The sequence below is a fragment of the Homo sapiens genome, chromosome 3, assembly GCF_000001405.40.
Source record: "Homo sapiens chromosome 3, GRCh38.p14 Primary Assembly".
In the NCBI taxonomy this organism is placed as follows: domain Eukaryota; kingdom Metazoa; phylum Chordata; class Mammalia; order Primates; family Hominidae; genus Homo; species Homo sapiens.
Window position 1 is genome coordinate 136,023,279 of NC_000003.12, and position 14,645 is coordinate 136,037,923.

Genomic DNA, 14,645 nt, shown 5'->3' on the forward strand with positions numbered 1-14,645 from the left:
GTGAACTAACTCACAAGTAATTTTACAGCTCCCTTGTATCTTGATATTAGATCAAGGAATTAATGTGTGTCCTCTATTCAGCTATTTGCAGAAAGCTATTTGCAGAGGGATTCCAACAGGTTTAAAAATAGACCTTCTGGACCTGGAGTACAGTACTCACATTTTTCTCTTGTAGAGAGGGAATCCAGTTTTAGAGACAACAAATACAACTTAATGAACATTTTACAATTTAGGTAGAAAATTACCAGAATTTTTCATAGAAATATCCTTGAGAAACTAGAATTTCTGTATTAAAAGCCTTGTTTGCACTTTGAATCAATAGATTATATATTAGCGTGCATACACATCTGTAACAAATGTTTGTTTAAAAAGTATGTTAATCCTGGTAATCTTTTTTTAAAGCAAGACGTATTTGTCTATATAGACAATTGTGTATGTGTGTGTCGTAATGTATGTAGATAACAAAGACTGGTGGTTACTTCTAGATCATTAAAAATGTCTTCCCTAAGCAAGCTGTGCAATTGAGTCATTTCTGCCTATGATGAGTACTTTGCAGAGTCCCTACTTTCTTGCTTAAAACCTATGGCAGTGTTTCACCAAACAAGTGCCTAACATTGACTACAATATAAATCAAGGACTGTACAAATGCTGGCCATCCAAAATCCAGCAAGAAACCATAGTTTTATGGTTATTCTGACCCAGAATAATCTCAAATTATTTGGGTAAATATGAAATTGCTTTTTTGTAGGTCAAAAATGATCAAATATTGGAAATGCTACAGTGACATAATAGCACAAGGATACTATTCTGAATGAATATCTAAATGATACTGTGTTTATAGGGAAAGACAAATGGAGAATTGAAGTATTTTACCCAGCTAATTCTATTCTAATGCTGCTCCTAGACTGGACTGAAACCACTGTATCCAAAGTGAGCAGATGCTAAACTTGCTAGTAAATCTGGCAGAATTTATGTTACTAGGTTTTCTTCCATAATGTTTGTAAACTACCAGTTTTATTCAGCTACTTTAAGGTTTAAATTATATATCTCCTGTAGAACTCAATAGAAAGTAAATTGAGTATCCAAAAGCTCAAAATAAATGCATTATTTTAATGTTATTTTCCTTTTAAATATTAACATCAGTTTTATTAAATATGGAATTGACCAGTGGATTAATAGTTGCCTATCAGTGAATTGCTCTGTGTTAAGTACACTAAGAAAAGCAGAACAGAATATTTTATAATCAGATATTTTCCCATTCAAATAAAATCTTTGGCAGCCAGTGTTCTGAATATCACTTATTTCTGTCAAAGCAAAAGCATAGAGTTAACATTGAAGACCTTGCTGTAAACCTTTCCCACTAGTATGTATTCATGAGACTCTCAGGTTTCATCCCTGCTGGCACCAGTGGTCTTAATTCTATGGGCATAACTGCCCTAGATGTGACACCACAGAAAACATTGGTGATTGTACACCTGAACCTCACAAATCTCTTTCAGCATAGAATAATGGAAAAGGAATGACACTAATATAAATGGTCTAGGTAAAGCCCCTGAAGAATTCTGTGCCTTACTTTAGAATTTTAAGAACACTTTGAAGAATAATAATAATTTATTGACTTACGGGACTGTGTAATATTTACAGATTTAGCATTAAGGCAGAGAGAAATGTTTATTGAAAATGGATTGTCAATTTGTTAACTCAAAAGTGGTTTGTAAACTTCAAATTGCTTTACATATGCAAATGATTATTTTATTATTGAATCTGAAAGATTATGCCAAATTATGCTTCATCTAATTTTTTGAGAATCTCATCCTTTGGTCTTGTCATTCATCTTCTTACATGATAGATGGATCTCTGCCCAGCACTGTTCTAAACCTTTTACCTATATTACATCTTGTAATTTCCTTTAATCCTCACAACAACCTTCTAAGAAGTAGACATTGTAATTTCTGTTTTATTATTGAAATTCCAAAAGGTTAAGTAACCATTTTGAGGTCACAGAGTAGTAAGCCATCAGTGTTTTAAGTTTTTCATATTTCATTGGTATCACTTCCCTTTGTTCTGTTTCTTCCTTGACTATTGCTTTATATGGGTGACATCCTGATACTGTAGCAAAGACATGGTGTGACAACTGGCCTTCATATCCCTAATAGTCTTAATATATGAGCAGACTCCATTCTGTGTATTAATGTCAGATATTAACACAGGGAAATTGGGCTATTATGACAAAAATAGGAGATTTAACCATTTTCATATATTTATATGAATAAATCTTATCTCTTTATAAAACTCACATTTTTAAGGGTAGCTAAAATTTTTATCATGATTTTTAAAATTATGTTATAAACCTATATGTTAAGAAATATGATAAATATATTTCTTACAGATATATCATTGTTCAAACTTTAGAGATGGCATTAGGGTAATTTAAGGAAGAAATTTGAATAATACTTTGTGTTCATAATACCTATACAATGTATTTAGCTAGTCAACAGTTGTGTTCATCTTTCATACTTTATGTAGCATCTAATACAGTACCATGCTCATGAGCCTTGATAATTTGGCCATTAATTAAGAGTGGAAATTAGAACTATGAAAATCCTCATGGAATCTTTTTTGCTTTTTCTGGTAAGAATCTCAGAACTAAATTTAGTCTTTATTGGTAAGATAAATTTCTACCTGAATAATGGTGTACCTCCCCTCCCTTTTTCCTAAATCATGGGCAATCTTAATTTCCTCGTTGCCTCCCTGCCACTCTTTACTGACCTTTCTAATGTCTCTTTATAGTATGCCACATCAAATCATTTTTTTAAAAGAAGAAGAATATAAACTGTAAATGAGTTATTAAACTGTAAAGGGAGTTTGGTTGTGATGAAATTAATGACCATGGTTTTTGCCTATTGGAGCAAACCACAAATAAGATACATGTGTATCTTGCAGAAAATGGCGTGGCCCTAGTGGCAAATAAATCAGCCAGGTAGGGGACATTTCAGAACTAAAATGCTTTAATTTTCTTAACAAAGATTTTCTCAGCATCAAGGGCTGGCAGTGATTCTACCTCAGCAAAGTCAAACTAGAGAAGGTAAAAGGAGCCCCTTCCCCAAATACTTTTCGGATATATATATTTAAAAGGAACTTGTTTTTGCCTGTTGAAAGAGAGGTAAAAGTCACAGAAAGACCAAGAACTGTCTTCAAAAAGAATGTATTAATCCAGTTCCAACAGAGTGAGAATACACCTTGAGATTCTTAATATATCAACTAACATTGCTCTTTGAGTCTTTTGAAATGTCTGCCAAATAGTTGATGGAGAAACCTATGTATTTTTTTAAACGTAAATCTATGTAAACTTGAGTACTGGCAGATAATTAATAAATTAATTAATTTAGTGCAGATAAGCATTCCCTAGAAACATGCTTACCACCTTTAAGAGTACAGTGAGCCCTTAATCTCTCCTGTCTCTGATTGTGGTTTCTTATATTGCTGGTGAGAATTTTCAGTAAATGAATACTGTTTAAATTTTTTGTGTCTCATAATCTTATTTTTCTTTTAGATTCAAAATAAACCAGAAAAGAAACCTGGAACACCACTCCCACCTCCAGCCACCTCTCCAAGTAGTCCCCGACCTCTCTCCCCGGTTCCCCATGTGAATAATGTTGTGAATGCGCCATTGTCCATAAACATTCCACGGTTCTACTTTCCTGAAGGACTCCCAGATACCTGTAGTAATCATGAACAAACTCTAAGCAGAATTGAAACTGCTTTCATGGATATTGAAGAACAGAAAGCAGACATTTATGAAATGGGGAAAATTGCAAAGGTAATGTAACTACTAAATGATTTACAATCTCCCCTTCTTTAGAAACCCTGATCCCCTCCCCTTCTCTAGAAACCCGGATCCCACCCCCCTTCACTGCCTCTTTGCTCTGTTTTTAAGCATGCATGGAATTGTTGTTGTTTTTCCCATAGTGATCTTCCATTTCAACCTCCTATTTAATATAAGAATCCCTTCCAAGACATCACCAACTCATAAATTCATTCTCTGCTTGAATGCTTTCAGAGACTAGAAGCTCTACCTTGCCAGGCAGCCTGGCCTATTGTCAAATACTTGTTTGTTAGAAAATTTTTCCTTGTGCTGAATAGGAATCTGATTTTTAGTCTCACCCATTGATCATAACTGCCCTAATGCCAGACAAGGAAGCATTAGACCATCTCAATACAGTCATTTTACCCAGAAATAAATGGATTTGACAATAGGAAGCAAGTCTTTGGAACTTTCAAATATATCCAACTGCTTCTGAGTTAAAATCTTATCCCCCTAATGTCAGGACTACTCTGACTTGATTCTGTGCCTCCAGCCTCCTCCCAGAACAGTTAATACTTAGCATAACCATCAGATTATATTTGATTATGCCATTTCCCAATTTAGCAATATTCAAGAATTCCCACCTTCTATAGCAGTGCTTTGTTTTGTTTGGGCTTTATTTTTATTATGCATAAATATTGAAGAGTCAGGTCACACTTCAGGCTTTAGCAGTAGTTTAGGCTGTGCTTCAAGAGGCAGAGGGGTTTAGAAGGCTAAGGGCTGCATGGAGGCAAGTAGGAGACCAAGTGAGAATACCTAAGAGCCCATGCACACTTCCACTGAGAAGGGTTCCCCTGCTTTCAGGAGTAATGTTAAAAAGTTGGAAAACTACCATTCTTCAGGATAAACCTCAAACTTCTCTTCCTGGCATTCCATGGCTTCCACAGCCTGGCCCCAGAGTTTCTTTCCAAACTTGCCTAAAATTTTCCTGTATAAGCGTGACCCTCTTGCCCTCTCATAGGCACACCTCTGCATTTGGGCTCTCAGAGTTCTCCCTCCAGAGTGGGCTTCCCCTCCTGCCAACCTCCTCAGCATCCACTTTGTTGAAGACCTAGCTTCCATTGTGTATTATTGGAGAAGTCCCTGAACCCTCACTTGTCATGCCCTGCCCTACCTCTGACCTCACAGAGCATTTGTCATTGCTGTTAAATGATATGTAACTAGAGTGATTTTAAAGGAAATGAAAAGGAATTCTTTGTTCTCTTCCTTCATTCCCCCTTCTTAAAAATTGCTTGTTGATACCCTAGATGCTTCTAATGAAAAACAAACTCATTCCAGAAATAAGAGCTTATCTGTTTCCATTCCATTTTACTTATGAGGGAACTGCAGTTCTACAAGTACTTACCTGAAGTCACAGAGCTAGTTCATGCCGGGAGACAAGTTGTCTAACTTCTAGCACAGTGCTGTTTCTACATATGTCATCTCCCTGGACATGTGGTAACAGTAACTAACTTCCAGTTAATAGCCACCCAAATATATTACAAGTTCTTTAAGGCATTCAGGGTTTTCTTACCCAATTCTTTTAGAGGTGGCTATTGCGTTAGATGACAGAACCCTGATGATAAAATTTCTGAATGGGCTGGAACTATGGCTGTAAATCCAAAAGATAAAATTTAACAAGGCTGAATGAAATCTGCATTTGGAGGTAATATGGTAACTACATAAATGCCAACAGGGTTGTTGTTGTTGTTTTTTGTTGTTGTTGTTTTGTTTTGTTTTGTTTTTTGAGACAGAGTTTCACTCTTGTTGCCCAGGCTGGAGTGCAATGGCGCTATCTCGGCACACCACAATCTCCACCTCCCAGATTCAAGCGATTCTCCTGCCTCAGCCTCCCAAGTAGCTGGGATTACAGGCATGCACCACCATGCCCGGCTAATTTTTGTATTTTTAGTAGAGATGGGGTTTCTCCATGTTGGTCAGGCTGGTCTCAAACTCCCGACCTCAGGTTATCCGCCCACCTCGGCCTCCCAAAGTGCTGAGATTACGCCAACAGGGTATTTCTAACACGAGAGCAATTTGTGTGAAAGAGACAGAAGGTTTCATGGATTGCCTCAGGTAAGCAGACAAAGAGAAACTTTCCAGATTAGGGCATAGTAGTTCCCTGGTACAGTGCTGAGGTCATCATGTCTGGAGAGCCCTTCTTCCTCTGAATATTCCCAACTGCTGACTGAGGAGCCCATTCTCCTGTGTCTTTGTACTGCTCTGCCTCCACATCCTTTATGGTCTGGCCTCCCATTCCTGTGGCATGGTAGCCCTGCCTTGCTCTGTGGCTCGGGGCCTTGCTAGCACTCCACAGATTCAGTGAGAGGAGAGCAGAAAGCCTAAAGACTCCACAGTGCTCAAGGGAGGTGTCAAAAAGAATATAGTCAAGGCAGGATAGAGGTCTCTGGAAGGTGGGGAGCCGGAGGAACGACTTTGCCATTTATGTGCAGTGAGAATCAGTCTGTATGTGGCATCAGAAAAAAACAGCAGTGTTGAAACTGACAGATAACATGGAGAAGTTTAAAAAGATAGAAAACTAATTTGTTTAGCCATAGGGACAGTCATTTACGTAACAATTTGCTACTTATACCTAATAATCGTGGTGCAATAGCCATTATACATATATATGTCTGATTAACTTGTCTGAATTATACTTCATTATAGCCCTAAATTCTATTCATGGGCACCAAGCCTTTTTGTTCATTGCTCTTAGATCTTAATTGTCAGTTCAGGTAGCAAAGTAAACTGCACATACCTTTAAAAAGTTAAAACCAACACTGCATTTTTATAAAATGAGGATGCGTGGCCAGGCACAGTAACTCATGCCTATAATCCCAGGACTTTGGGAGGTCGAGGCAGGAGAATCGCTTGAGCCTGGGAGTCCAAGACCAGCCTGGGCAACATAGTGAGACCCCATCTCTACAGATAATAATTTTTTAAAAATTGCCTGGGTGTAGTGACATGTGCCTGTGGTCCTAGCTACTCAGGAGGCTGAGGCAGGAAGATCACCTGAGCTCAGGAGGTTGAGGCTACAGTGAGCCATGATCATACCACCACACTCCAGCCTGGGTGACAGAGTGAGAACCTGTCTCAATAAAAAGTTGGGGCGGGGGGGATGTGTATATAATTACCTGGGAAGTTGAGGGGGATGTGTATATAATTACCTGAAAAGATATCTTGAGTGTGTCAGTTTGTTTTTTTTGCCTCTTTATTCTTAAAATTGTTTATTTAAAAGTTGATTTAATCATGTCTTCCAGTTAGCTAATTCTCTTTTTTTCTAATTTTATTTCCATGGTTTGTTGGGAAACAGGTGATGTTTGGTTACACGAGTAAGTTCTTTAGTGGTGATTTGTGAGATTTTGGTGCATCCGTCACCCAGGCAGTATACACTGCACCCTATTTGTAGTGTTTTATCCCTCACCCCTTCCCACCCTTTACCCCTTAGTCCCCAAAGTCCATTGTGTCATTCTTATGCCTTTGCATCCTCATAGCTTAGCTCCCACTTATGAGTGAGAACATATGATGTTTGGTTTTCCATTCCTGAGTTACTTCACATGGAATAGTCTCCAATCTCATCCTGGTCACTGCGAATGCCATTAATTCATTCCTTTTTATGGCTGAGTAGTATTCCATCACATATATATATATATATATATGTATGTATGTATGTATGTATGTATGTATGTATGTATGTATGTATACACACACACACACACACACATGCCCCAGTTTATCCATTTGTTGATTGATGGGCATTGGGTTGGTTTCACATTTTTGCAATTGCGAATTGTGCTGCTATAAACATGCATGTACAAGTATCTTTTTTTACAGTGACTTCTTTTCCTCTGAGTAGATACCCAGTAGTGGGATTGCTGGATAAAATGGTAGTTCTACTTTTAGTTCTTTAAAGAATCTCCACACTGTTTTCCATAGTGGTTATACTAGTTTACATTCCCACCAGCAGTGTAGAAATGTTCCCTGTTCACTGCAGCCATGCCAACATCTACTGTTTTATTTTGTTTTGTTTTTTCAGGGGTAAGGTGGTATCACATTGTGGTTTTGCAGGGGTTAAGGTTCTTCTTGGAGGGGTAAGGTGGTATCGCATTGTGGTTTTGATTTGCATTTCCCTGATCATTAGTGACATTGAACATTTTTTATATGTTTATTGGCCATTTGTATATCTTCTTTTGAGAATTGCCTATTCATGTCATTAGCCCACTTTTTGATGGGATTATTTTTTTCTTGTTGATATGAGTTCATTGTAGATTCTGGATATTAGTCCTTTGTCAGATGTATAGATCTTGAAGACTTTTTCCCACTCTGTGGGTTGTCTGTTTACTTGCTGACTGTTCCTTTCACCATGCAAAACCTCTTTATTTTAATTAAGTCCTAGCAATTTATCTTTGTTTTTGTTACATTTGCTTTTGGGTTCTTGGTCATGAAATCTTTGCCTAAGCCAATGTCTAGAAGGGTTTTCCCATTGTTATCTTCTAGAATTTTTATAGTTTCAGGTCTTAGATTTAAGTCCTTAGTCCATCTTGAGTTGATTTTTGTAAAAGGTGACAGACGAGGATCAGTTTCATTCTCCTACATGTGACTAGCCAATTATCCCAGCACCATTTGTTTGAAAAGAGTATGCTTTCCCTGCTTTATGTTTTTGTTTACCTTGTCAAAGATCAGTTGGCTGTAAGTATTGGGCTTTATCTCTGTGTTCTCTATTCTGTTCCACTGGTCTATGTGCCTATTTTTATAACAGTACCATGCTGTTTTGGTGACTATGGCCTTATAGTATAGTTTGAAATCAGGTAATGTGACACCTCTAGATTTATTCTTTTTGCTTAGTCTTGCGTTGGCCATGCGGGCTCTTTTTTGGTTCTATATGAATTTTAGAATTGTTTTTTCTAATTCTGTGAAAAATGTTGATGGTATTTTTATAGGAATTGTGGTGGGAATTGCATTGAGTCTGTAGATTGCTTTTGGCAGAATGGTCATTTTCACAATATTGATTCTACCCATCCATGAGCATGGGATGTGTTTCCATTTGTTTGTGTCATCTGTGATTTCTTTCAGCAGTGGTTTGTGGTTTTACTTGTAGAGGTCTTTCACCTCCTTGGTTAGGTATATTGCTAAGTATGTTTTTTGTTTGTTTGTTTGTTTTTTGCAGCTGTTGTAAAAGGGGTCGAGTTCTTGATTTGATACTCAGCTTGCTCGTTGTTGGTGTATAGAAGAGCTACTGATTCGTGTACATTAATTTTGTCTTCGAAAACTTTGCTGAATTATTTTATCAGTTCCAGGAGTTTTCTGGAGGAGTTTTTAGGATCTTCTGGGTAAACGATCATATCATCAGCAAACAGCGAGAATTTGACTTTCTCTTTTTTTTTTTAATTAATTAATTTATTTATTTATTTTTTTTTTTTCCTGAGACGGAGTCTCGCTCTGTCGCCCAGGCTGGAGTGCAGTGGCTCAATCTCAGCTCACTGCAGACTGCAAGCTCTGCCTCCCGGGTTGACACCATTCTCCTGCCTCAGCCTCCCAAGTAGCTGGGACTACAGGCACCCACCACCATGCCCAGCTAATTTTTTGTGTTTTTAGTAGAGACGGGGTTTCACCATGTTAGCCAGGATGGTCTCGATCTCCTGACCTCGTGATCTGCCCGCCTCGGCCTTCCAAAGTGCTGGGATTATAGGCGTGAGCCACCACACCCGGCCGACTTCCTCTTTATTGATTTGGGTGCCCTTTATTTCTTTCTCTTGTTTGATTGCTCTGACTAGGACTTCCAGTACTATGTTGAAGAAGAGTAGTAAGAGTGGGCATCCTTGTCTTGTTCCAGTTCTCAGAGGGAATGCTTTCCACTTTTCCCAATTCAGTATTATGTTGGCTGTGGGCTTGTCATAGATGGCTTTTATTACATTGAGGTATGTCCCTTGTATGCCAATTTTGCTGAGAGTTTTCATCATAAAGGGATGCTGGATTTTATCAAATGCTTTTTCTCCATTTATTGAGATGATCATGTGATTTTGGTTTTTAATTCTGTTTTTGTGGTGTATCACATCTATTGACTTGCATATGTTAAACCATCCCTGCATCCCTGATATGAAACCCACTTAATCATGGTGGATTATCTGTTTGATATGTTGTTAGATTCAGTTAGCTAGTATTTTGTTAAGGATTTTAGCATCTGTGTTCATCAGGGATATTGGTCTGTAGGTTTTTGTTTGTTTGGTTGGTTATGTCCTCCTTTCCTGGTTTTGGTATTAGGGTGATGCCGGCTTCATAGAATGAATTAGGGAGGGTTCCCTGTTTCTCTGTCTTGTGGAATAGTGTCAATAGGATTGGTACCAATTCTTCTTTGAATGTCTGGTAGAATTCGGCTGTGAATCCGTCTGTCCTTGACTTTTTTTGTTGGTAATTTTTAAACTACCATTTCAATATCACTGCTTGTTGCTGGTCTGTTCAGGGTATCTAATTCTTCCTGATTTAAGCTAGAAGGGTTGTATCTTTCCAGGAATTTATTCATCTCTTCTAGGTTTTCTAGTTTATGTGTGTAAAGGTGTTCATAGTAACCTTGAATGATCTTCTGTATTTCTGTGGTGTCAGTTGTAATATCTCCTGTTTTGTTTCTTATTGAGCTTATTTGGATTTTCTCTCTTCTTTTCTTAGTTAGTCTTGCTAATGGTCTATCAATTTTATTTATCTTTTCAAAGAACTAGCTTTTTGTTTCATTTATTTTTTGTATTTTTTTTCTTTTGTATTATTTTTTTCAATTTCATTTAGTTCTGCTCTGATCCTGGTCATTTCCTTTCTCCTGCTGGGTTTGGGTTTGGTTTGTTCCATTCTTGTTTCTCTAATTCCTTGAGGTGTGACCTTAGATTGTCTGTTTGTGCTCTTTCAGACTTTTTTTCTTTTTCTTTTTCTTTTTTTTTTTTTTTGAGACAGAATCTCTCTCTGTTGCCAGGCCGGAGTGCAGTGGCGTGATCTTGGCTCACTGCAGCCAGCACCTCCTGGGTTCAAGTGATTCTCCTGCCTCAGCCTCCTGAGTAGGTGTGACTACAGGTGCGCACTACTACACCCAGCTAATTTTTGTATTTTTTAGTAGAGACAGGGTTTCACCATGTTTGCCAGGATGGTCTCGACCTCTTGACCTCATGAACCACCGACCTCGGCCTCCCAAAGTGCTGGGATGATGGGCGTGAGCCACTGCGCCCAGCCCAGACTTTTTGATGTAGGCGTTTAGGGCTATGAACTTTTCTCTTAGCATTGCCTTTGCTGTGTCCCAGAGGGTTTGATAGGTTGTGTCACTATTGTCATTCAGTTTGAAGAATGTTTTAATTTCCATCTTGATTTCATTTTTGACCCAGTGATCATTCAGGAGCAGGTTATTTAATTTCCATGTATTTGCATGGTTTTGAGGGTTCCTTTTGGAGTTGATTTCAGGTTTTATTCCACTGTAGTCTGAGAGAGTGCTTGATATAATTTCAACTTTCTTAAATGTATTGAGGCTCGTTTTGTGGCCTCTTCTATGGTCTATCTTGGAGAAAGTTCCATGTGCTGTTGAATAGAATGCATATTCTGCAGTTGTTAGATGGAATGTTCTGTATATGTCTATTAAGTCCATTTGTTCCAGGGTATAGTTTAAATCCATTGTTTGTTTATTGACTTTCTGTCTTGACCTGTTTAGTGCTGTCAGTGGAGTACTGAAGTCCCCCACTCTTGTTGTGTTAAACTGTCTGTCTCATTTCTTAGGTCTATTAGTAATTGTTTTATAAATTTGGGAGCTCCAGTGTTAGTGCATATATGTTTAGGATTGTGGTATTTTCCTGTTGGAAAAGGCCTTTTATCATTATGTAATGTCCCTCTTTTTCTTTTTTAACTGTTGTTCCTTTAAAGTTTGTCTGATATAAGAATAGCCACTCCTCACTTTTGGTGTCCATTTGCCTGAAATGTCTTTTTCCACTCCTTTACCTTAAGTTTGTGCAAGTCCTTATGTGTTAGGTGAGTCTCTTGAAGGCAGCAGATAATTGGTTGGTGAATTCTTATCAATTCTTCAATTCTGTATCTTTAAGTGGAGTATTTAGGCCATTTACATTCAACATTAGTAGTGAGATATGAGGTACCATTCCATTCATCATGCTATTTGTTTCCTGTATATCTTGGTTTTTTGTTTTTGTTTTTTAAATTGCATTTTTGTTTTATAGGTCCTGTGGGATTTATGCTTTAAAGAGGTTCTGTTTTGGGTGTTTCCAGGATTTGTTTCAAGATTTAGAGCTCCTTTTATCAGTTCTTGTAGTGGTGGCTTGGTAGTGGCGAATTCTCTCAGCATTTGTTTTTCGGAAAAAGACTATCTTTTCTTTACATATGAAGCTTAGTTTTGCTGGATACAAAATTTTGGCTGATAATTGTTTTGTTTGAGGAGGCTGAAGATAGGGCCGCAATTCCTTCTAGCTTGTAGGGCTCTGCTGAGAAATCTGCTGTTAATCTGATAGGTTTTCCTTTTTAGGTTACGTAGTACTTTGGTGTCACCACTCTTAAGATTCTTTCCTTTATCTTAACTTTAGATTACCTGATGAGAGTGTGCCTAGGCAGTGATCTTTGTGTGATGAATTTCCCAGATGTTCTTTGTGCTTCTTGTATTTGGATGTCTAGGTCTCTAGCAAGGCTGGGGAAGTTTTCCTCAATTATTCTCCCAAGTATGTTTTCCAAACTTTAAATTTCTCTTCTTCCTCAGGAACACCAATCAATCTTAGGTTTGGTCGTTTAACATAATTCTTGACTCCTTAGAGGCTTTGTTCATATTTTCTTTTTTTTTTCTTTGTCTTTGTTGGATTGGGTTAATTTGAAGACCTTGTCTTTGAGCTCTGAATTTCTTTCTTCTGCTTGTTCAGTTCCATTGCTGAGACTTTCCAGAGCATTTTGCGTTTCTATAAGTGTGTCCATTGTTTCCTGAAGTTTTGATTGTTTTTTATTTATGCTATTTCCTTGAATATTTTTCCCTTCACTTGTATCATTTTTTGGATTTCCTTACATTGGGCTTTGCCTTTCTCTGGTGCCTCCCTGATTAGCTTAATAACTAACCTTCTGAATTCTTTTTCAGGTAAATCAGGGATTTCTTCTTGGTTTGGGTCCATTGCTGATAAGCTAGTGTGATTTTTTGAAGGTATTAAAGAACATTGTTTTGTCATATAACCAGAGTTGGTTTTCTGGTTCCTTCTCATATGGGTAGGCTCTGTCAGAGGAAAGGTCTAGGGCTGAAGGCTGTTAGTCAGATTCTTTTGTCCCACAGGGTGTTCCCTTGATTTAGTACTCTCCCCCTTTTCCTATGGATGTGGCTTCTTGAGAGCCAAGCTGTAGTGATTGTTATCTCTCTTCTGGATCTAGCCGCCCAGCAAGTCCAGGCTCTGGACTGCTACTGGGGGTTGTCTGCACAGCGTCCTGTGATGTGAACCCTCTGTGGGTCTCTCAGCTGTGTATACCAGCACAGTATTTGGGGTGCCTCTTGGGTCCCACAGGAACAGTCCGCTTCCTTCAGGGGGTCTGTGGGTCTTCTCAGGTTTCCTGATTTATTCCTGCAGTTGTTCTGGAGCGAAAATTCTCACTGCAAGCCTCCACACACTGCTCTGTCTGTCCCAAGTTGGAGCTGCAGTCTAGTCCTGCCTCCCGTCCACCATGATCCCCTCAGTCCTCAGAGACTTTTTATTACTCCTAATTCTCTTTTAATTTAGCTTTTACTTGGCTATTGCAGTCTATTAGTACTCACTAAGTCATCCTTATTTTCGACAGTTCTTTACTATGCATGCAAGTCTTTTCTGGTACCAGGCAGTGAGCTCTGTGTCTCCAGCACTTACTGTTCATATTCTTATGATAGGTTGGCATAGGAAAGAGGAGAAGAGAGGCAACCTTTAAGGAGTAAGGAGGAGAGAGTTTGTTAGAGCAATAAATGAATGTTCTTATGGATTCTTGTAGTTTATAAAGTTATTTGGAAGACCAGCTTGAGTTTGCCGCTTACTCTTAGTGGCACTCAAGTGTAGCTGTAAAGACTGGGATCTGTTTTTAAGTGCCTAGAAAACTCTGTGTTTATGGAATCTGCATCTGTTGGTGAAGTTTAGCTCATTCATCTTAGACCTCAAACAGCCCTGAAGAACTTAATGCTTACATCTGGTTAAATTCTCAGTGTGTAGTTTGTACGTTTTTCCACAGCTTTAAGTAATGATAGAGAAGAAAAGAATAGAGAATGAATCTCAGAGAAATGAAAGCAACTTAGGAACAGAAACAGAGAAACAGTAAGAAATGCATTTTTCAGAGACTGGGCCAAAGGATTCATCATGGAGTTTTAACTTCTAGCAGAAAGTTGAGGAAAAGGAATAAGACTCTTTTCTGAACCATACAAAGCCCCGCAGCTCCTGTCTTCTGGCTGACATAGCACCATCTTTACCCATCACACCTGTGGCCTGGAAGGTAGCCTCTCTGTACCTGAATTTCTTCATCTGTAAAATGGGATTAAAAAAATCACTGCCCTCATCTATGTGAGGATCACGTGAAGGCCAAATGAAATTACAAGCCTGAGACATCTTTAAATGTTGAAAGAAGATTACAAACATTGGGTAATCATCCTCTCCTATGTGTATCATTAGACAACCTTGCTTTGGATTATTTGTTTTGTTGGCCATTCTTAGATCAAATCGTAGGTGTTGATCAAGTTTTCTTTGCTCCAGAACTTTGATTACCATATATTGACTCGCCTCCCCCTCTAAAAATAAGTTTCCTAAATCTATTTTCTGTATCTCTGTGTATACCCACTTGC

The 14,645-nt window shown here is 38.2% G+C and overlaps 1 protein-coding gene across 9 annotated transcripts in view; it reads left to right on the forward strand.

The window, feature by feature from the left end:
- Window positions 1-14,645, forward strand: part of PPP2R3A (protein phosphatase 2 regulatory subunit B''alpha) — a 182,167-nt gene that overhangs the window by 57,551 nt on the left and 109,971 nt on the right. For 6 of the 9 annotated variants that reach the window (XR_001740196.3, NM_002718.5, NM_001190447.2 and 3 more), the window contains one exon: window positions 3,554-3,820. The exons of the other annotated variants lie outside the window; for them this stretch is intronic. Coding sequence is in view for 5 of the 6 variants with exons in the window: in NM_002718.5 (NP_002709.2) it covers window positions 3,554-3,820 (267 nt within the window). In the remaining variant the exon portion in view is untranslated. The remainder of the gene's footprint in view (window positions 1-3,553; window positions 3,821-14,645) is intronic. 9 annotated transcript variants of the gene reach the window in all.